Source organism: Homo sapiens, chromosome 2 (assembly GCF_000001405.40).
Source record: "Homo sapiens chromosome 2, GRCh38.p14 Primary Assembly".
Taxonomy (NCBI): domain Eukaryota; kingdom Metazoa; phylum Chordata; class Mammalia; order Primates; family Hominidae; genus Homo; species Homo sapiens.
The window spans coordinates 109858246-109881403 of record NC_000002.12 but is presented as its reverse complement, the minus strand read 5'-3'; the positions used below and the strand labels follow the sequence as shown (position 1 = coordinate 109881403).

The 23158-nt window shown below is 40.9% G+C and overlaps 1 long non-coding RNA gene across 1 annotated transcript, besides 4 other annotated features; it reads left to right on the top strand.

The window, feature by feature from the left end:
- Positions 1 to 4367: 4367 nt before the first annotated feature.
- On the top strand, positions 4368 to 22691 carry LOC102724848 (uncharacterized). The gene is made up of 3 exons (XR_427154.5): positions 4368 to 4532; positions 10000 to 10135; positions 21198 to 22691. It is a non-coding gene; the product is annotated as an uncharacterized LOC102724848 (long non-coding RNA).
- Positions 10655 to 11635: a meiotic recombination region, noted in NCBI's record as "meiotic double-strand break mapped by DNA meiotic recombinase 1 chromatin immunoprecipitation followed by single-stranded DNA enrichment and sequencing in the germ cells of some male individuals with the PRDM9 A/C genotype". NCBI's record gives the evidence for it as "EXISTENCE:chromatin immunoprecipitation-seq evidence [ECO:0000229][PMID:25395542]".
- Positions 10655 to 11766: a biological region, named in NCBI's record as "2q13 recombination region". NCBI's record gives its function as "recombination_partner: LOC107305685".
- Positions 11487 to 11766: a mobile genetic element, noted in NCBI's record as "direction; forward".
- Positions 11503 to 11536: a non allelic homologous recombination region, noted in NCBI's record as "2q13 recombination sub-region, recombines with the 2q12.3 distal recombination sub-region". NCBI's record gives the evidence for it as "EXISTENCE:nucleotide sequencing assay evidence [ECO:0000219][PMID:23657883]".
- Positions 22692 to 23158: the final 467 nt, after the last annotated feature.

Below are 23158 nucleotides of genomic sequence, written 5' to 3'. Positions count from 1 at the left end.
AAATTTTAAAAATTACAATTCAAGAAAAAAAAGACATAGAAGGAAAAAATTTGAAATTTTAGAACTGAAAATATAATTAAAATAAATTCATTGAATGGGCTCAATAGCAGAATGGAGATGACAGAGGAAAGTCAATTAATTTGAACATAGATTATTACAAGTTTCTCAAACTGAACGACAAAAAGAAAATAGCTGAAAAAGAAATGAACAGAGATCCAGGAACTTGTGGGACAATAAGAAAATAGCTAACATTTTCAAGGGCTAAAATAAAAGAACTGTTCATCCTAATTCTATACCCAGTGAACTATACTTCAGGAATGAAGGGGAAATAAAAACATTTCTTGTCAAAATATAAACAAAAGTTACCCAGAAGAAACACAAAGCCTGAATGAATTATTAGCTATAGAGAGACTGAAATAATAAAGGCCTATATTTTAAAAGGTCATAGATCCAGAAGATTTTAATCCCTGAATTCTTTCTGGCCTTTAAAGAAGGAACAATTCTTACAATGCCTAAACAATTTCAGTACTTGGAAAAAGTGCAAAGCTTCATTGTTTATCTTATAAGGCTAACATTGCTTTAATTTTTAAAACTAGTAAGAAATATCAAAAAATTAGAGTATATACCATTTTTATAAAGGGATACAGACACAAAAATTATAATCAAATTATTAGAATATGAAATCCAATGATACGGAAAAAGAATAGTACTCCTTAACTAATCAGGGTTTGAGGAATGAGAGGGTGCTTCAACATTACAAACTCAACTGACCAGGATTCCTTGGACAAATGGCTGATTCAAGGACTGTAGCAGGAATAGAGAAGGTAAGCACAGAATCTCTTGAAATGACAGGAAATAAAGAAGTGCTCCCAAACAAAACCAAACCCACTTTGAGGGAGGTTTGTCAAAGGCACACAGGAGCAAGTGAAAGAACTTCCAGTGGCCAAAGGAGGCATGATTGGAGCAACACCATAAAGTAACACTGGATTCTAATCCAAAGTATGAAATAAGTATCTATGAACAATGATTGAGAAAATAAATAAATAGGGGAGACAAACCTCTCATGCAGAAGAATTCTAAATGATTGATGTCGATATTTCACCCTCAAACAGTGGAGAGCATAACTCTCCAATCCTTAAGTGTGGGCTGGAAAGGGATCGGGATCCCGATCCACACCCTAAGAGAGGATTCTTGAATCTTGCACAAGAAAGAATTCAGGATGAATCTGCAGTGCAAAGCAAAAGCAAGTTTATTAAAGAAAGTAAAGTAGTGAAAGCACAGCTACTCCATAGACAGAGCAGGGCGTTCCTGAAAGCAAAAGGAGGAACGCTTCCACCGTAGATACAATGTTGGTATACACACACACACACACACGATAAATACATACATATGTGTATATATGAGATAAATACATACATATGTGTATATATATATACACACACATATGTATATATATGATAAAAAAATCTTGGGGAGATGTGCTCTGCTACAGGGGTTTGTGATAAAGCATTAATTTTCCTAATTACTGTATTTTGCAAGAATCGATATGTTTAAAGCAAAATTAGGAATGCCCTTATTCTCCAGATATCGGGATATCTGGACACTCCCGAGTCTGCATCTGTTTAGTAAACATTATTAATCTGTTCCCTTAACCATAAACATCTAGGGGCTAGGAATTCCTCACTTTCTGGGAATGCAGCCCAGGAAGCCTCAGACACATTTTCCTAGCCCTCACTCAAAATGGAGTCACTCCAGTTCAAACACCTCTGACATAAGGACTTCCTTCCAAAGAGTACAGTAAGGAAAGGGAAAGAAAGAGGGACTTTTCTGTGGAGAAACGTAATGGACACCGTCTCAGCCAGGTGATCAAGGTCAGCATCAACAGGAATAAATCTCACCAGTATCCCCAAAACTGTCAAGGTCATCAGAAACAAGAAAAGTCTTAGAAACTGTCACAGCCAAGCGGAGCGTAAGGACAGATGACAACTAAATGTAATGTGATGTCCTGGATGACATCCTCGAACAGAAAATAATATTAGGCAAAAACTAAGGAGATCTGGATAAAATATTCACACTAGCTAATAATAACAAATCAATATTAGTTGAGTAATTGTTGCAAATACACCATACTCGTGTAAGATGTTGGTTATAGGAGACAATTGAGTACAGGGCATATAGGTGCTCTTTGTACGAATTTCTTAATTTTTCTGTAAGTACAAAACTGTCCAAAAAGTTAAGACTATTTTTTTAAAAAATTCAACTATCACAATATATTAAATCAACAATTTAAACTAGGATAATACGATTAAATCAATAAATACTAAAAAGCTTGTTTCTGATCTTTTTTCAAAGTTTCCAAGTAAAATGATTAAATATGATTCGTCATCAAGAGAAAGCTTTATACTAAACAGTAAAACACAGAGCCAATTTTATCCATCAGTTTCAAGCTGAAATATCAGCTGCCACCATTATTAAACATATTTTTTCAAAATTCTACTCAATATAATTCGATCAAAAATTGAAATAATTGGGGCCGGGCATGGTGGCTCATGCCTGGAATCCCAGCACTTTGGGAGGCCGAGGTGGGCAGATCACTTGAGGTCAGGAGTTCGAGACCAGCCTGGTCAACATGGTGAAACCCCGTTTCTACTAAAAATCCAAAAAGAAAATTAGCCAGGCATGGTGGTGCGCACCTGTAATCCCAGCTACTCGGGAAGCTGAGACAGGAGAATCACTTGAACCCGGGAGGTAGAGGTTGCAGTGAGCCGAGATCGCGAGACTGCACTCCAGCCTGGGTGACAGAGGGAGACTCCGTCTCAAAGAAAAAAAAAAAAAAATTGAAATAATCAATTTAAATGTTGGAAAGTAGGCAAAACCATCCAAGATATTTTAGAAAAGAAACAAAAACAGGCCGGGCGCGGTGGCTCACGCCTGTAATCCCAGCACTTTGGGAGGCTGAAGTGGGCAGATCATGAAGTCAGGAGACCGAGACCATCCTAGCCAACATGGTGAAACCCCGTCTCTATTAAAAATACAAAAAATTAGCCGGGTGTGGTGGCGGGTGCCTGTAGTCCCAGCTACTCGGGAGGCTGAGGCAGGAGAATGGCGTGAACCCGGGAGGCAGAGCTTGCAGTGAGCAGAGATCGCACCACTGCACTCCAGCCTGGGTGACAGAGCAAGACTCTGTCTTGAAAAAAAAAAAGGAACAAAAACAATCTTAAACGAATAAGTAAATTTGGTTAAATAGTTGCACATGTTTTCTCTATGAACAGAAATCAGAAATGGAAATGGAAAACCATGTCATTGAATAGCAACTAAATTCAAAGTGAAATAAAAATAACATCAAGGACATGAGTTTAACTTGAATAAAATTTTGTAGTGGACGTTAAAACTAAGTACATTGAGAGACACCGTATCTGAATGGGGAGACTCACTATCATAGGAATAAAAATCCTCCCAACATTAATAATGTATGGATATTGCTGCAGTTCTTACACAATGTGTTTGAGCTAGCTAAAAGGATTTCAAAAATTACATGGAAAAATAAATGCTTCAGAATCACCAAGACACTAAGTCAAAGAATAATGAGAGGGAATTGCGTTTATATCCACTATATAGTGGAGAATGCTAAACGCTGCCTGCATTAGTTACCTATTTCTATGTATATACAATCTAATGTTAAAATCTCAGAGAGACCAAAGGATCACAGTCATATTCAGTCACACAAAGGTCCCTTTAAAGAGATTAAGGGTGTTGCTCTCAGATTGTCTCAAACAATTAAACCTCTAGGGAGCTTAAGAGTATTTTTCCTCAGCCTCTCAGCAGAAGCTCAAGATAGTGAAGGGTTTATCCAGAGAGATTTGTAGGGTTTCGTCTAATGTAGTTAACACATTATGCAAGCAAACAAAAAGACCCACAAATTTCCTGAGAAATCTGTGTGTCAGTTTGGAGTGGAAAAGGCAGACCCAGTACAACATAAAAAGGAATTGTTGGACCTCCAAAATTCTAGCAGGAAGCAGGCTGAGAAAACAGATGCTACCTTTTCTTTAAAAAAAAAAAAAAAAAAAAGTCCGGGCACAGTGGCTCACACCTGTAATCCCAGCACTTTGGGAGGCTGAGGAGGGCAGATCGCTTGAGGTCAAGAGCTCAAGACCAGCCTGGCCAACATGGTGAAACCCCGTCTCTACTAAAAATACAAAAATCAGCCAGGCGTGGTGGTGGGAGCCTGTAGTCCCAGCTACTCGGGAGGCTGAGGCAGGAGAATGGCGTGAACCCGGGAAGTGGAGCTTGCAGTGAGCTGAGATCGCACCTCCAGCCTGGGCGACAGAACAAGACTCCTTCTCAAAAAATAAAAAAAAAACCATTCCACTTTGAACTCACTTCTTGTATTGCCTTGGGAGACATCTGGCCATTGGTACTCATTTCTGTTCTGGGTCGAAGGGACCTCACCTTCTTTTCCACCAGCCATGAGACAGGAAGGCCTCAACTGGTATCCCTGAAAGGGGGAGAGTTGGACTCTTGCCACAAGTCAGGTATCTCACCTACTTCTCTCTCCCCTCTTGTGACCTTTTCTCAACTACTGCCCCCTAGTGTGGTTCCAATGGTAAATGACGGATTTGGAAGAGGAAATAGACATCCCTTCTCCGGTGGGTTTGGGATTGGAGTCAGAATGGCCACTGTGAGGACACCTGGTGATCCCTGGACCCTCACCAAGACAAGACTCAGAGGGACACCAAGCAGCAGGGGGAAGTCAAGAGAGAATAAAATGCTAAAGACTTTTTGCTTTAGGAGTTGAAGAGATATATATTTGATATATATTTATTATGTTTGGAAACCATAAAATGAAATCAATAGGATGAATGAATGGCTTTTATTCTTGTTAAACAAGTATTTATTTGGTACCCACTACATGCTTTGTATAGTTGGCTCAACCTTCAAACTCTACCCATTATGAAGCCACTGTTTACCATGTCCACTGCCTATCTCTAATCTAGCCACCTTCACCTCTCACCTGGAGCGTGGGAACACACTACATCTATAACAGAAAATTATTGTTTAGAAACAACCCCATTGTTCCGCTATTACAGATAACAGTAGTAAATGTCTTTGCTGTAGATCACCCTTGTTTCTTTTTTAATTTTAATTTTTTATTTTATATATATATGTGTCTGTATGTGTGTGTGTGTGTGTGTGTGTGTGTGTGTGTTTGAGACAAGGTCTCACTTTGTTGCCCAGGCTGGAGTGAGATGGCATGATCTCAGTTCACTACAGCCTCGACTTCCTGGGCTCAAGCGATCCTCCCACCTCAACCTCTTTTTTTTTGACACAGAGTCTCACTCTGTCGCCCAGGCTGGAGTGCTGTGGTGCAATCTCAGCTCACTGCAAGCTCCGCCTCCCAGGTTCAGGCCATTCTCCTGCCTCAGTATCCCGAGTAGCTGGGACTACAGGTACCCACCACCAAACCTGGCTAATTTTTTGTATTTTTAGTTGAGACAGGGTTTCACCACATTAGCCAGGATGGTCTCGATCTCCTGACCTCGTGATCCGCCCGCCTCAGCCTCCCAAAGTGCTGGGATTACAGGCGTGAGCCACCGTGCCCGGGCCCGCTCCCATCTCAAGCTCTTGAGTAGCTGGGACGACAGCCGTGCACCACCACACCCTGTTAATTTTTTGATTTTTAGTAGAGATGAAGTCTCACTATGTTACCCAGGCTGTTCTTGAACTCCTGAGCTCAAGTGATCTTCCCACCTCAAGCCTCCCGAAGTGCTGGGATTACAGGCATGAGCCATCACACCCAGCCTTGACTCTTGTTTCTTCTTAAAAATTTCATTAGAGTAAGTTTGAAACATGAGATTACTTGGTCAAATGATATGAAGCCTTTATGGCTCTTGCTCTGTGTTATCCTCTTGCTTTTTCAAAGGGCCGTGAGCTAACAGGGAGCAGTTCATGACGAACTTCTACTAAAAGTATCACCATTTTTGTTTTCTTATTTTATAGGTATAAAACGATACATAAAATTCAAATTTATTTTATAATTTTTGATACTGTTGTATCAAAAAATCTGAGTCTGATTCCTAAGGGAGATGAAACAGCATGAGTCATGTGTGTAGGGAAAGAGAAGAAGGGAGCTTTTCCAGGTTGATTTGCAGTTTCTTGTTCAAGAAGCTCACCAGATGGTCGAACAAGTGACAGGAAGAAGATAGTTGAAAAGGGCGTTAACGTTTGGGAAAGGTGGATCATTGAATTAATGAACTGAATTGAATTCATTTATAAAGAAAGCATGAGATCCAGGTAGAAATCAGCTATAAATCTAAAGCATAGATCAGAAGATTCTAGCAAACTGAAACCACAGCGAGCTGTCACTACACTTTTATTAAAATGGTTAAAATAAGAAGTGGTGACAACTCACTAAAGAGTGAGTTCAGCCATATTATGGGATATGAGAGCAACACACAAAACTTAATCACATTTTTATATGCCAACAATGAACATGTGGAAACCAAAGTTAAAAACACAAAACTACTTAGCTGGGCGCAGTGGCTCACACCTGTAATCCCAGCACTTTGAGAGTCCAAGGCGGGCGGATCACCTGAGGTCAGGAGTTCGAGACCAGTCTGGCCGACTTGCTGAAACCCTGTCTCTATAAAAATACACAAATTAGCCGGGCTTGGTGGCAGTCACCTGTAATCCCTGTTACTCAAGAGGCTGAGGTGGGAGAATCGCTTGAACCCAGGAGGCAGAGGTTGCAGTGAGCTGAGATCGCACCATTGCACTCCAGCCTGGGCAAGAGAGCAAAAATTCCGTCTAAAAAAACCCCAAAAAACCACAGTACTACTTACAGTCACCCTAGAGAAAATGTGATGCTTGGGTATAAATTTAACAAGACATGTATAGGCTCTGTATGCTAAAAATAGTAAAATGATTATGAAGGAAGTCAAAGAGGACCTAAAGAAATGGACAGACATACTGTGTTCATGGATTGCAGGACAGTATAGTAAAGATGTCAGTTCACCCCAAACTGGTCTATAGGTTTATGTAATTCTTATCAAAATGTTAGCAAGATTTTTGTATAGACATGGAGCTTCTTTTAAAATTTACATGGAGGGGCCGGGCACGGTGGCTCACACTTGTAATCCCAGTACTTTGGGAAGCCGAGGCAGGTGGATCATGAGGTCAGGAGATCGAGACCATCTTGGCTAACATGGTGAAACCCCGTCTCTCCTCAAAATACAAAAAATTAGCCGGGCGTGGTGGTGGGCACCTGTGGTCCCAGCTACTCGGGATGCTGAGGCAGGAGAATGGCGTAAACCCGGGAGACGGAGGTTGCAGTGAGCCAAGATCATGTCACTGCACTCCAGCCTGGGCAACAGAGCGAGACTCCATCTCAAAAAAAAAAAAAAAATTTACATGGAGGCCAGGTGCAGTGACTCACGCCTATAATCCCAGCACTTTGGGAGGCCAAGGCAGGTGGATCACCGGAGGTCAGGAGTTCGAGACCAGGCTGGCCAACATGGTGAAACCCTGTCCCTACTAAAAATACAAAAATTAGCCAGGCATGGTGGAGGGCGCCTGTAATTGCAGGTATTTAGGAGGCTGAGGCAGAAGAATCGCTTGGGCCCAGCCTAGGCGACAAGACCAAGACTCCATCTCAATCAATAAATAAATAATAAAAATTCATATGGAAAGGCACAAGCCCTAGAATAGCTTAAACATCTTGAAAAAGAAGAATATAAGTGAACATGCTACCTGATATTAAGATGTATTTTAGAGCTATAGTACTTAATACACTGTAGTATTCATGAAAAAATAGAAACATAAATCAGTGGGGCCAGGCACGGTGGCTCTCGGCTGAAATCCCAGCAGAGGCCAAGGCGGGTGAATCACCTGAGGTCAGGAGTTCAAGACAAGCCTGGCCAACATGGTGAAACCCCATCTCTACTAAGAATACAAAAAAAATTAGCCAGGTGTGGTGGCGCATGCCTGTACTTTCAGCTACTCGGGAGGCTGAGGCATGAGAATTGCTTGAACCAGGGGGCAGAGGTTGCAGTGAGCCGAGATCACACCACTATGTGACAGAGCAAGATTCTGTCTCAAAAACAGAAGAAACATAAATCAGTGGAAGAGAATAGAGAACTCAGAAATAGACCAAAACATATATGCCCATCTGATATTTGAAAAAGGTGCAAAAGCCATTCAATAGAGGAAGGATAAACTTTTCAACAAATTGTACTAGATAAGGTGGATATCAACAGGCAGAAAAATGAACATCAACATAAGCTTCACACCTCATACAAAAACTAACTCAAAATGGATCGTGGACCTAATAATTTTTCAGAAAAGAGGAGATAGGGCTTGGCAAAGAGTTCTTGAGCTTGACTCCAAAAGTATAATCCATAAAAGTAAAAATTGATAAATTGAACCTCATCAAAATAAAACTTCTGCTCTATGAAACACCTCATTAGAGTATAAAAATGAGTTACAAACTGGGTGAAAGGATTTTTAAGTCATACATATGACAAGGGACTCAGATCTAGAATATGTAAACAACTTTCAAAACTTAACAGTAAACAACAACAGACACACAATCCAATTAGAAAAAGAGCAAACAGTAAGACCCCAGCTCTACAAAAAAATACAAAAATTAGCCAATGTGGTGGCACACACCTGCATACCTAGTATTCCTGAGAATTGAAAATATATGTTCACAAAAACTTGTATGCAAATCTTATAGCAGCATTATTCATAAGAGGCAGACAAGAATGGAACCAATGCAAACGTCCATCAATTGATGACTAAATGAACAAAAATGACTCTTCAGCCATAGAAAGGAGTGAACATGATGCTAATACACACTACAATGGGGATGAGCCTTGAAAACTTTGTGCTAAGTGAAATTAGACACAAAAGGCCACATACTGTGTGATTCCATTTATATGAAATGTCCAGATGAGACATCCATACATACAGAAAGTAGATTAGTGGTTGTCAGAAGCTGGGGTGAGGAGGGAGTAGTGAGTGACTGCTAATAGGTACAGAGTTTTTTTGGGGGGAGTGGTGAAACCGTTCTAAAATTAAACTGTAGTAGGCCGGGCATGGTGGCTCACACCTGTAATCCCAGCACTTTGGGAGGCCAAGGCAGGCAGATCACGAGGTCAGAAGACCAAGACCATCCTGGCCAACATGGTGAAACCCCATATGTACTAAAAATACAAAAATTAGCCAGGCATGGTGGTGCACACCTGTAATCCCAGCTACTTGGGAGGCTGAGGTGGGAGAATTGCTTGAATCCAGGAGGCGAAGGTTACAGTGAGCTGAGATTGCGCCACTGCACTCCATCCTGGGCGACAGAGTGAGACTCCATCTCAAAAACAAACAAACAAACAAAGAAATAACAACAAAAACTGTAGTAATGGTTTAAAACTCTTGAATATACTCAAAGCCATTGAACTGTGCACTTTAAGAGGATAAATTTTTTGGTATATGAATTATACTTCAAGCTATTAAAAAGGATATATCAATTATTTAATGTTAATGGACAATTCCAATGTATCCAGTTTTTTCTATTGCAATGCTGCAAGGGACGTACTTGAACATTCATCTTTATGCCTTTATCTTCCTGGTAGTTCTATAAGATATAGTGAAGGAAGGGGATTTATTGTTGTTATAGTCTTTATTGTGGTAGCCAGTGACTAGTACTAGAATGGTATTTATTTTGAGTGCTTAGGCACTACGAATTTCTGTAAAACTGACGTTTCATGGTTGTAGCCAGCCAAGATAGCGTTGACACCTGTATGGAGAAAGAGTTGGTAGGATAATCCTGGGTGCTCTTGAGGGGAGAAGGGAGCATGTGGGGGACTGGAGTAAGGAAGGGAGGGAAAAAGGTGAGCAGGACATTGAAAGCCTCTTGTGGGGTTTTTGCTGTTCGTATTTCCTTTCTGGCTTTATAGAGAGCTCTTGGTTTGAATTGGATTGGTTTCTCTTTTGCTTTTTCCCTGTTAGGTGAAGGCATTCTCATCTCCTCAGAGGCTTCAGAGCTTCTCCATTTCATAGACAACCAGGGCCCAGTGCACGTGATCCAGAAATATCTTGAGCACCCTCTGCTGCTTGAGCCAGGTCATCGCAAGTTTGACATTCGGTAATGCATTCATGTCCATAGCTTTTGTTTTTATTCATCTGAAAAAACTGCCATGGTATGTGGTGGGAAGGGGGACATGGAATATGAGGAAGCGTTTGACCATGTTTAATATGTTACCAAAATTGAGCACAGCTGAATGGAACTTACCTTCTGTACCTAATTTTCTATTTTTCTTTCTTGTTTTTTCCATCTAGAAAATGTTACTACGATTATGGATTTTCTTTTTTAAAAAATATTCTTTTCTGGCTGGGCACAGTGGCTCACGCTTGTAATCCCAGCACTTTGGGAGGCCAGGGTGGGCAGATCACCTGAGGTCAGGAGATCGAGACCATCCTGGCTAACACGGTGAAGCCCTGTGTCTACTAAAAATACAAAAAAAATTAGCCGGGTATGGTGGTGGTGCCTGTAGTCCCAGCTGAGGCAGGAGAATGGTGTGAACCCGGGAGGCGAAGCTTGCAGGGAGCTGAGATTGCGCCAGTGCACTCTAGCCTGGGCGATAGAGCAAGACTCCGTCTCAAAAAAAAAAAGCTAACTTGAAAATTGAAGTCCCTATAATCCTACTTCCTAGACAGAATCAGTGATCTTGCACTTTTAGTGTTATTTTCTGTCAATCATAGTTATATGTATCCCAGTGTAATACATATATTACTTAACATGAAAAATTTTAAGCACATAGAAATTTAAAGGAAATATGTTCATCTATGAATATTATAAAGCCACCATCTAGATTTAGCAGTTAATATTTTGCAGTGTTTAAATTTTTTTCACTGTAGTTTGAAGTAAATTACTTTAAACTTTTCACCCCTAAATACTTTAGAATGCATCTTTTTTAAAGAAGGAATTCTTTCACAATATAATCACACAATTTTCACACCTAATACAAGTAACAGTGCTTTCTAAATGTTCTCTAATAACCAGACTATATTCACCTTTCCCTTTTTGACCCCAAAAAATGTCTTTGAGAGCTGGTTTGTTTAAATAGGGTTCTAATTAAGGAGCATAGGTTGCATTTCATTGTTTGTCTCTAAGCTTTTTAAAAATCAAGTGTAGTACCTGGCCCCCCCTTTTTTTTCTTGACTTTGAACTTATTGGAGAGACCTAGCCAGTTGACTTACAGAAGTTGGGTCAATGTTCTCACTTTCTGTATTTATCTGATTGTTTCCTCATGGTGTCCTTTAACTGTATTCTCTTTTATTTCCAGTAAAGCAGAATTTTAGGCTTGAACACAATTACATTAAACATGTTGGACAACAATTCTTCACCATTGATATCATTTTCTTTCTTTCTTTCTTTCTTTCTTTCTTTCTTTCTTTCTTTCTTTCTTTCTTTCTTTTCTTTTCTTTTCTTTCTTATGCAGTTTCACTCTCGTCACCCAGGCTGGAGTGCAGTGGCACGATCTCGGCTCACTGCAACCTCCGCCTCCTGGGTTCAAGTGATTCTCCTGCCTCAGCCTCCCACGTAGCTGGGATTACAGGTGCTCGCCACCATGCCCTGAAAGTTTTTGTATTTTTAGTAGAGATGGGGTTTCACCATATTGGCCAGGCTGGTCTCGAACTCCTGACTTTAGGTGATCCACCCACCTCTGCCTCCCAAAGTGCTGGGATTACAGGTATGAGCCACCACGCCCAGCCTGATGCCATTTTCTTCACATAATATCTAGTGTACCCACTATTAGAGATTCTAAGATTATAGGGTTAACTATCGATTTATCTTCTTGCCACTGGAAAGTATTCTATGGGTTGGAACACTGAGATCTTTGACATCTTTCCCTTAATGGTTTTAGCATGCAGTAATGATTCTTTCTCAGATCAGTTACTTAATTAGAAGTTGCAAAATGGTGATTAAATTATCTTTTTTTTTCTACATTTATTAACTGTCATTCTTACCTCTAAAGAACTTTCCCTCATCCACTGGGGTTATTTTGTATCTAAAACTTAGTTCCACTGCAGAGAAAGAATACATTATTCTTTACTTACCTTTAATTACCAAGTTTTAGAATAAGAACTTGAATAACAGCCACCCCCATCAGTGATGATTAAGATGGTTTGTTTTCATCTTTATTGAGTATGATTATGGACTCAAGAATTTTTATGCTTTAAATGTCTTCTAGTCAATTATGGTTCATTACTCTTATTGATGCTCAAACTGTCAAAATGTTCCAGATTTGGCCAAGGGGAGTCCTTTCTGTTGGCTCCTGGGACCTTTTCATATGACTCCATTAGTCTTTTAAATGACTCTTTTCGTCTTTTGGAGTTTTAATATAACTTCATTAGTCCTGGTTCACTTTGTACATTCCTTACCCCAGACCTGAAATAAGCATCTCTCAAGCCTCCTGATTCCTTTTACTATGGAATTATATTTACACATTTATGATTGTTATGTCTTCTTGTTGAATTGACCCTTTAATAATTATGTAATATCCTTCTTTATTCATGGTAATCATCTTTGTTTGAAGTCTACTTTGATATTAATATAGACACTCTCATTTCCTTTTTCTTTTGCTTATTTTTTTAGATACAGGGTCTCATTCTGTTGCCCAGGCTGGAGTGCAGTGGTGTGATCATAGCTTGCTGTAACCTCAAACTACTGAGCTCAAGCGATCCTCCCACCTCAGCCTCCCAAGTAGCTAGGGTACATTATACCATGCATGCCACCATGCTGGGCTATTTAAACTTTTTTTTTTCATTTGTAGAGAAGGGATCTCATTCTGTTGCCCAGGCTGGTCTGGAACTCCTAGCCTCAAGAAGTCTTCCTGCCTTGGCCTCCCAAAGTGCTAGAATTACAGGTGTAAGCTACCACACCCAGCCTAATTTCCTTTGATTAGTATTTGCATTTTTCCACTTTTAATTTTATTTTTCTATATATATATTTTTGATATGAAGTCTCACTCTGTCACCCAGGCTGGAGTGCAGTGGCATGATCTCAGCTCAGTGCAACCTCCACCTCTGAGGTTCAAGCGATTCTCCTGCCTCAGCCTCCCAAGTAGCTGGGACTACAGGTGCGTGCCATTATGTCTGGCTAATTTTTTGTATTTTTAGTAGAGACGGGGTTTCACCGTGTTAGCCAGGATGATCTCGGTCTCCTGACCTCTTGATCTGCCTGCCTTGGCCTCCCAAAGTGCTGGGATTACAGGTGTGAGCCACCAAGCCCAGCCCATTCTTTTAATCAATTAAGTCTTTATATTGAAAGTGATTTTCTTATAAATAGCATGTACTCAGGTCTTGTCTGTTTAATGTAGTCTGACAATCTCTGCATTACAGTTGGTATATTTAGACCATTTACATTTAATGTAATTATTGATTTGGTAGGATTTAGGTCTACCATTTCTAATCTGTCGTCAAGTTCACAAACTCCTATCATTGTCATCTGCATTCTGCTATGTAGCCCATTGAGTGAATTTTTGAAAACTATTAATAATACATTTTATTGTTTGAACAATTACAGCTTATCAGAAAAGTGAGCAAACAGAAGAGAATTCCCATATGCCCTCTTACCCCAAACCCTCCCACCCCCGTTTCCCTTATTATTAACATCTTGCATTAGTTATAGTACATTTGTTATAATTGATGAGCCATTATTAAAGCTTTGTTAACAATAGTGCTTTGTGGATTACATTAGAGTTCATTCTTGGTGTTGTATAGTCTATGGGTTTTGACAAATGTATAATGACATGTATTCATCATTACAGAAACAGAATAGTTTCACTACCCTAAAAATCAGCTGTTCTCCACCATTTATCCACCCTCCCCGCCCCCAACACCTAACTCCTGGCAACCACTGAACTTCTTACTGTTTCTATGGTTTTGCCTTTTTCAGAATATATATATATATAATATTATATATGATATATATTATTATATATCATATATAAAGAACTATTTTTTTGCAAAGATTTTTTCCCATTTAATGGCTTACCTTTTCATTCTCTTAACAGTGTCCTGTGTGAGCAGAAAAATTTAATTTTAGTGAAGTCCAACTTACCAATTTTTTCTTTTATGAGTCATGTTTTTGATGTTATATCTAAAAAGTCATCACCAAATCCAAGGTCACCTGAGTTTTCTCCTATGTTATCTTCTAGGAATTCTGTAGTGTTGCATGTTACATTTAGGTCTATGATCCCTTTTGAGTTAATTTTTGTGAAAGGATTGAGATCTGTGTCTAGATAAGATATACTTAGGCAGGCCTAGTGGCTCATGCCTGTAATCCCAGCACTTTGGGAGGCCAAGACAGGCAGATCACCTGAGGCCAGGAGTTCAAGACCAGCCTGGCCAACATAGTGAAACCCCATCTCTACTAAAAATACAAAAAATTAGCTGGGCTTAGTGGCGGGGGTCTGTAATCCCAGCTACTTGGGAGGCTGAGGCAGGATAATCGCTTGAACCCAGGAGGCAGAGGCTGCAGTGAGCTGAGATTGCACCATTGCACTCTAGCCTGGGCAACAAGAGCGAAACTCCATCTTAGGAAAAAAAAAAAAGATATACCTCGATGTAACATTTTTGTTATTTATCCTATATGGTGTTTTTTGAGCTTCCTGGATCTGTTCCTTTATGTCTACCTTAGTTCATTTGGGCTGCTGTGACAAAAATTTCATAAACTGGAGAGTTTATAAACAACAGAAATTTATTTCTCACAGTTCTAGGGGCTGTGATGTCCAAGACCAAGGCACTAGCAGTGTCTGGTGAGGCCCTCCTTCCTCATAGATGGCACATTCTGGCTTTGTCCTCACATGGTGTAAGGGGCTAGCTAATTCCCTGGGGCTTCTTTCATAAGTGCACTAATCTCTGTCCTGAGGATAGAGCCCTCATAACCTGATTGACTCCCAAAAGCCCCACCTCAGTACTATCATATTGAGGATTAAGTTTCAATATAACTTTTGAGGAGACACAAACATTCAGACCATATCTTTATATATCATTAATTTGGGGAAATTTTCAGTCACTGTTGCTTCAAATGTTTCTTCTGTTTCTTTCTTTCTTTCTTTTTTTTTTTTTTGAGACGGAGTCTTGCTCTGTTGCCCAGGCTGGAGTGCAGTGGCACGATCTCAGCTCACTGCAAGCTCCGCCTCCCAGGTTCGCGCCATTCTCCTGCCTCAGCCTCCCTAGTAGCTGGGACTACAGGCGCCTGCCACCATGCCCTGCTAATTTTTTGTATTTTTAGTAGAGACAGGGTTTCACCGTGTTAGCCAGGATGGTCTCGATCTCCTGACCTTGTGATCTGCCCGCCTCAGCCTCCCAAAGTGTGGGGATTATAGGCATAAGCCACCACGCCCAGCTTTCTTTCTCTTTTTCTTCTCTTTCTGGTATTTCCAAAAAGTCTCCATGTTCCACCTTTTGTAATTGTCTCACAGTTCTTGACTCTTGTTCTGTTTTTTCTTTTTCATTCTTTTTTCTCATTGTGTGTCAGCTTTTGAAGTATCTATTGACATCTCTTCAAGCTCACTGATTCTTTCATTGGCCATATCCATTCTTTTGATGAACCCATCAAAGGCATTCTTCATTTCTGTTATGGTGTTTTTTATTTCTAGTATTTCATTTTTATTTCTTCTTAGTGTTTTTATCTCTTTGCTTACATTACCCATCTGTTCTTGCATGTTATGCTGTTTTTACATTAGAGCCCCTAGCATGTTAATCTTAGTTATTTTAAATTCCTGGTTGGACACTTCCAATATTTCTTTCATATCTGAGTCTGGTTCTGATGCTTGCTCTGTCTCTTCAAAGTGTGGGGTTTCTTGTCTTTTAGTATGCTTTGTAATTTTTTGTTTGAGGCTGTATATGATGTACTGGGTGAAAGGAACTGAGTTAAATAAGGCTTTAGTATGAGATTTTGTATTTCTCTGGCTAGGAGTTAGGCTTTGTTTACTCTTTGCTATATAGTCATGGATGTCAGAGGCTAAAATTTCCTCTAGTGTCCCTGTGTTGTCTCCCCTGTCTTCTCTGGGGAGCTCCCTAGAGGCTTCTTTGTAAAGTAGCTCTGAGTCTTGCAGTGTCTATCCCTAATCATGGGAAAACATCAAACAAACCCATATAGCAGGACATCTGACAAAGTACCAAGTGTCAAGGATCATGGATTGAATCCTGAAACAGAGGAAGGACACTGAAGGAAAGACTGGGAAAACCTGACTGAGGTCTGGAGTGTAGTTAGTGATACTATACCAAGACTAATTTCTTAGTTTTGATAATTTATTAACAGTTATGTTAACATTGGGGGTAGCTGTGCAAGGGGTGTGAGAATGCTGTTATATCTTTAACCTTGGCCCATGGTTAAGGTGTTTCCAGTGTAAGGTCACTGTTATTCCTTGTAGTTAACATATATTTGGCACCACAGGATTCATTCTGGAATTCTTGGCTTATTTATAACTTTTTTTCTTTTTCTAGTAGTGAGAAACCTGGCTTTCGTGCAGAGTTTACAAACGCCAATTTAAACTTTTGTTTTGTCATAGGCAATAATTTTATTACCTTTATTACCTGTATTTATTTCAGAGCTTATGAATTTTTAATTATTCTAAGGGCTAACAGAACTTTTTCATGTTTTCTACTCTTCAAGAGCAGGTAAGACTTTAGTTTGTAATACATTACAAGAGGAATCCTGTGGTTCTCTAAGAGCTAATTTGTCTTGGCAAAAGGCCTTAGCGAGCTGTGAGTGGTGGCTCATGCCTGGAATCCCAGCACTTTGATCTGAGACGGCTGGATCACCTGAGGCCAGAAGTTTGAGGCCAGTTTGGCCAACATGGCGAAACCCCATCTCTGCTAAAAATACAAAAAATTAGCCAGGCATAATGGCATGCACCTGTAGTCCCAGCCACTTGGGAGGCTGAGGCAGGAGAATTGCTTGAACCTCGGAAGTGGAGGTTGCAGTGAGCCGAGATCGTGCCACTGCACTCCAGCCTGGGAAACAGCGAGACTGTCTCAAAACAAACAAAAAAAAACAACAAAAAAAAAACAAAACAACAAAAAAATTAGACGGGCGTGGTGGCATGCACCTATAGTCCCAGCTACTCAGGAGGCTGAGGCAGGAGAATCGCTTGAACCCAGGAGTTGGAGGTTGCACTGAGCAGAGATCATGCCGCTGCACTCTAGCCTGGGTGACACAGTGAGTATCCATCTCAAAACAACAACAACAACAACAAAAACAAATTAAAAAACCCAACAACAACAAAACCAGCAAACAAGAAAACTAAACAGGCTTTAGGGAAAGAGCAATCTAATTATCTGATTATATGATTGGCACTAAGATGGGAATGACTCTGGCCTAATTTCTTCAATTTACATTTTAAAACAGGAGCTTAGTTAGCCCCCAAATAATATGTAATTGATGTATTAGGGTTGGGGAGTGAATATTTTTCAAAGCAGAAGATATTTCTCAATTCTTGCTTACTTTTGGAGGTTGAAGTTCAAGGAAGCCCCTGCCTTGGCACTGTATTCCAGGGAGGTATTTGGAGTTAATTTCAGGGCTTAGCAGTGACTCTTTAGAAAAGCAGTATACGATTGAAATGTAATGTGGTACAAATGAGATCACTACAAGTAATTTAAAAATGTGCTAGTAGTGTTTCTTTTTCTGAGACGGAGTCTCGCTCTGAAGCCCAGGCTGGAGTGCAGTGGCACGATCTCAGCTCACTGCAAGCTCCGCCTCCCAGGTTCGCGCCATTCTCCTGCCTCAGCCTCCCTAGTAGCTGGGACTACAGGCGCCTGCCACCACTCCTGGCTAATTTTCTGTGTTTTTAGTAGAGACGGGGTTTCACCGTGTTAGCCAGGATGGTCTCGGTCTCCTGACCTCGTGATCCTCCCACCTCAGCCTCCCAAAGTGCTGGGACTACAGGAGTGAGCCACCACACCCAGCCTCTAGTAGTACTTTTATCAAAAGTAAATAGAAACATGGAATTAATTTTCACAATACATTTTATTTAAACTAATATGTTCACAATGTTAAAATTTCAACATGTAATCACTATAAAAACTACTAGTGAGATATTTCACATTACTTTTTTCATGTAAGCCTTTGAAATCTGGTGTGTATTTTATATTTACTGTACATCCTGATTTGGAATAACCACATTTCAATCTTTCAATAGCCACATGTGGCTAGTGGCTACTGTGTTAGAGCAGTTCTAGAACAAAGGAGTCCCTTTCAAACTATTTTGAAGTCATCGTCTATAAGGCAATATGAAAGCTGATCTGAATGATTTCTCCTTTTCCAGGAAAGGAAACAAAAATGAAATCATGTTAGGGCTGCATATTTTATGGGTCCCAGGACAAATAGACATAGTCTGAAAGAATGATCTCAGTCAGAAACTCAGAATGAATCATATGAATTAAACATTGGACAATGTCCAATGCTCAGCATGTGTTTTTGGTTTATACTAAGAACATATTATGCCACCAAATACAGATATTTACTATTATACTTAGTGTAGGAGGTATATTGAGACATTGTTCTACACTACCACAGTTCCATATTTTGTGAAAAGCTATATTGCACTTTTTTTTTTTGCGAGTGTGCCCAGGCTGGAGTGCAATGGCATGATCTCAGCTCACTCCAGCCTCCGCCCCACCAGGTTCAAGTGATTCTCCTGCCTCAGCCTCCCTAGTAGTTGGGATTACAGGTGCGCACCACCACGTCTGGCTAATTGTTGTATTTTTAGTAGATACGGGGTTTTGTCATGTTGGCCAGGCTGGTCTCGAACTCCTGACCTCAGGTGATCCACCCGCCTCAGCCTCCCAAAGTGTTAGGATTACAGGCGTGATCCACCACGCCCAGCCTTATATTTCACTCTTTGGGAATTGTATCTTACTGTAATCTTAAACTACACTAAAATAAATAATGTAAACCTTTTGTCAAATTGCTCAGAGTAGGTTTCTACTTTGGTTATAAGGAATAAAATTCATGCTTTTGTGTACACACTAGACATCTAAAGCAATCAACTATAGTTAACAAGCAGTGCTCTTACCAAAAGGTAACTCTTTCTAGAATCTGTCACACCATTTAATATCAGTATGAGCATATGGTGGGTTTAATAATTGTTTTCCATGTTTATAGGTTTTCTTTAGTTTTATAAGCAGTTAAAAAGAATCCCTTTCACTGAAATACAATCTGTGGTGAGACTTCTAGCTTTTCTCGATCTTACGCTGCCAGATTTATGTCACTGCCAAAGCTATGCAATGGGTGATATTTACACTGTGCTCAAACAAAGCAACCAGAAAAACACATCACTGAATAATACAGATATTCTGAAGTCAAGCAAGCCAACTTTCATTAACAGATCAATTGCCTTAGAAAAGTTGACGAAACTAAAGACTGAAGTTCAAACAAAAAGCCCTCTCAAGGGGGTATGAATTTCTGGTAACTTATGGGGTAAGAAAAAGAGCAAGAAACTTGAAAGTAGGGAAGAGAAAAAAGAAAAGGAGCAAGAGGGGATAGCCAGCTCTCAAAAGAGTCTCCAATAGGAAAGCAAAATCTGTATCTAGCCAGTACCAACATGTGAAGAAAGAGTGAGCATAGCAAAATTTAGAAAGGTTGCTTGAAAACCAAACAAAAAACCAAATACCTGTAATCCTAGCACTTTGGGAGGGTGAGGTGGGCAGATTGCCTGCACTCAGGAGTTCAAGACCAGCCTGGGCAACATGGTGAAACCTTGTCTCTACTAAAATCCAAAAAAAAAAAAAAAAAAAAAATTAGCCGGGCATGGGCTGGGCGCGATGGTTCACGCCTGTAATCCCAGCACTTTGGGGGACAAAGGTGGGCAGATCACGAGGTCAGGAGATCGAGACCATCCTGGCTAACACAGTGAAACTCCATCTGTACTAAAAATACAAAAAATTAGCTGGACGTGGTGGCGCGTGCCTATAGTCCCAGCTACTCGGGAGGCTGAGGCAGGAGAATCACTTGAACCCAGGAGGTGGAGGTTGCAGTGAGCTGAGACCATGCCACTGTACTCCAGCCTGGCGACAGAGCGACACTCATCTCAAAAAAAAAAAAAAAAAAAAAAAAAAAAAAAAAGTCTCTTTTGGCCAGGTGTGGTGGTTCACACCTGAAATCTCAGCACTTTGGGAGGCCGAGGTGGGTGGATCACTTGAGTCCAGGAGTTCAAGATCAGCCTAGGTAACATGGCAAAACCTCGTCTCTACCAAAAACAAACAAAAATTAGCCAGATGTGGTGGTGCACACCTGTAGTCCCAGCTACTTGGGAGGCTGAGGCAGGAGAATCACCTGAGACCAGGAGGCAGAGATTGCAGAGAACTGAGACTATGCCAAGGCACTCCAGCCTGGGTGACAGAGCAAGACTCTCTCTCTCTCTCAAAAAAGAAAAAACAAAAAGCCTCCTTTAAAAAATGCAGTTTGATGCTATAAATTTATCAGTTAATAGTTTTTGGGGCAAAAAATGTTTTCTGACATTTCAATAAGAGCTATAGACGAAGTCCAGCATTAGTCATGACTCTGGACTAAGTCTGGAAATCTGGAATCTCTTCCCAGCTCTGGGAGGTACAAAGTTTTAAAAAATAAGGTCAAAATGCTGGAAAACATTCAATTTATTTCCTTATTAACACAATTGTTCACTCATAAACGACAGTAACACTTGGTGCTGTGGGTCATGCACTGAGGTCAGAACAAGGAACAGAAGAAAATGAGGTAAATTGGTAAATCTTTTTGCAGGCTGAGAAGTGAGAGAATGCTGGCATGCCTACTCTGTGCTGGGTTTTTTTTTTTTTGTTTTTTTTGTTGAGATGGGGTCTTGCTCTGTCGCCCAGGCTGGAGTGCAGCGGCGCAATCTCGGCTCACTGCAAGCTCCGCCTCCTGGGTTCACGCCATTCTTCTGCCTCAGCCTCCCAAGTAGCTGGGACTACAGGCACCTGCCACCATGCCTGGCTGATTTTTTGTATTTTTAGTAGAGACGGGGCTTCACCGTGTTAGCCAGGATGCTCCCGATCTCCTGACCTTGTGATACGCCCACCGTGGCCTCCCAAAGTGCTGGGATTACAGGCGTGAGCCACTGCGCCCAGCCCTCTGTGCTGGGTTTTATTATGTCATCCAATAACTCACAACTATGTAATTTATTTCCTTTTTACAGATAAAGAAATGGGGGCTCAGAGCAGTCAAGAACATGCCCCAAGTTATTCGTCAGTGAGGCAGAAATTGTGGTGTCCTTGTGTAAGTTCACAGTTTATACTTTACCATTATACTGTGCTCCAAATTATCTGATATTTACTTTCAAAGCATGTGTAGGAAGTTTACTATGATGATGCAGAGACATTGTACAGAATCCAGTCCCTTGACTCTCAGGTCCCCAGAACACTCACTTCACGATTTTGTTGACCTCTTATGTCAACTTAAACCTGGCACTCTCTTGGCTTTCTCTGCTCTTTCTGGGCACTCCAAAGCTTCTGTACTTACATGCTACAACTCCAGTCACAGGAAGATGCTGAGTTCTTTAGTCCCAGATCCATATTCCTGAGAAAACCTAATTGCCTAGGCTCAGGTCATAACTCTGTGTCTGTTTCAGTTGATTATGGCTGGGCCTACTGCCCCTCTGTATGGTGGTGGGGCAGAAGTTCCCAGAGAGAGGCAGGGGTGACAGAGACTGTTGTCTCAAATGCTAGGCAGACATCTGGAGTGGTAACCACTACATCTGTTCACAGTGAGCACATCCTTGCAGGGAAACTGGGTTAATCATCTCTATTATTGAAACTCAGAGGTATAGTGTTTCTTCATAGGAATTTTCTTTCCTTATTTGAGATGGGGGTCTCACTTTGTTGCCCAGGCTGGAGTGCAGTGGTGTGTGATCTTGGCTCACTGCAGCCTCCCCTCCCGAGTTCAAGCGATTCTCCTACCTCAGCCTGCTGAGTAGCTGGGACTACAGGCATGGGCCAACATGCCTGGCTAATTTTTGTATTTTTCGTAGAGACAAGTTTTCACCATATTGGCCAGGCTGGTCTTGGACTCCTGACCTCAGGTGATCTGCCCACCCTGGCCTCCCTAAGTGCCGGGATGACAGGTGTGAGCCATCGCGCCCAGCCTATTTATAGGAATTTTCTGTAGGTATATAAGTAATAATTTGAAGGTCACAACTAGATGACTTTTTGTGTAACCGTATCTTGAATGGAACAAACATTTTCTTTCTACGTAATTATACATAAATAACCCAATGCTTTTTAATACCCACGAAAAGCCATTAGCTCAAAGACACTTGCAAACTTGTATCAGGTTGTTTTCCTTGGTGTGTATTAAGTTTGAAGCAAAGGGGATTTTCACATACCAAGACGAAGCAGAAGTCTTCCACCAAGTTGAAATCATCACGTTGCAATTTAATCATATGATACAACCAATTTTTTGATGTGTTATGCCATTCGCCAAATACCATACAAAGTACGGTATGCCTTCTCAGTGCCTTGTTAGTAATTCAGTTACAGTTCTGCCGAACTTTCTTTAAAGGAATACAATTCTCAATCTTACACTGTTCAGAGCACAAGCATAGCTTATTGTATGCAAGAGATGTGCATCAGTTCCCACTCCTCAGGGACTGTATGAATTTGGCTTTATTTTTTTGACAGAGTCTCACTCTGTCGCCAGGCTGGAGTGCAGTAGTGTGATCTCAGCTCACTGGACTCTGCCACCTGGGTTCAAGTGATTCTCCTGCCTCAGCTTCCCAAGTAGCTAGGACTACAGGTGCACACCACCATGCCCAGCTGATTTTTTGTGTGTTTTTAGTAGAGACGGGGATTCACCATGTTGGCCAGGATGGTCTTGATCTCTTGACCTCATGATCTACCCGCTTTGGCCTCCCAAGGTGCTGGGATTACAGGCATGAGCCACTGTGCTGGGCCAAATTTGGTTCTTAGAAACCAAGGAGTGATGTGTGCACCAGGCCCAGGGCTGAAGAGCTGCTTCTCACTAGATGCCTCTCTTGGTCTGGCTGCTGTGTCCAGTCCTATCCAGGGTTAGCTCTGTTCCTCCTCCTTGTGGCATCTGTGTTTCTCTTTCTGCTCTGCCTCTCCCCATCTCCTAGTCCAAACATCCAAAGAAATAAATTAC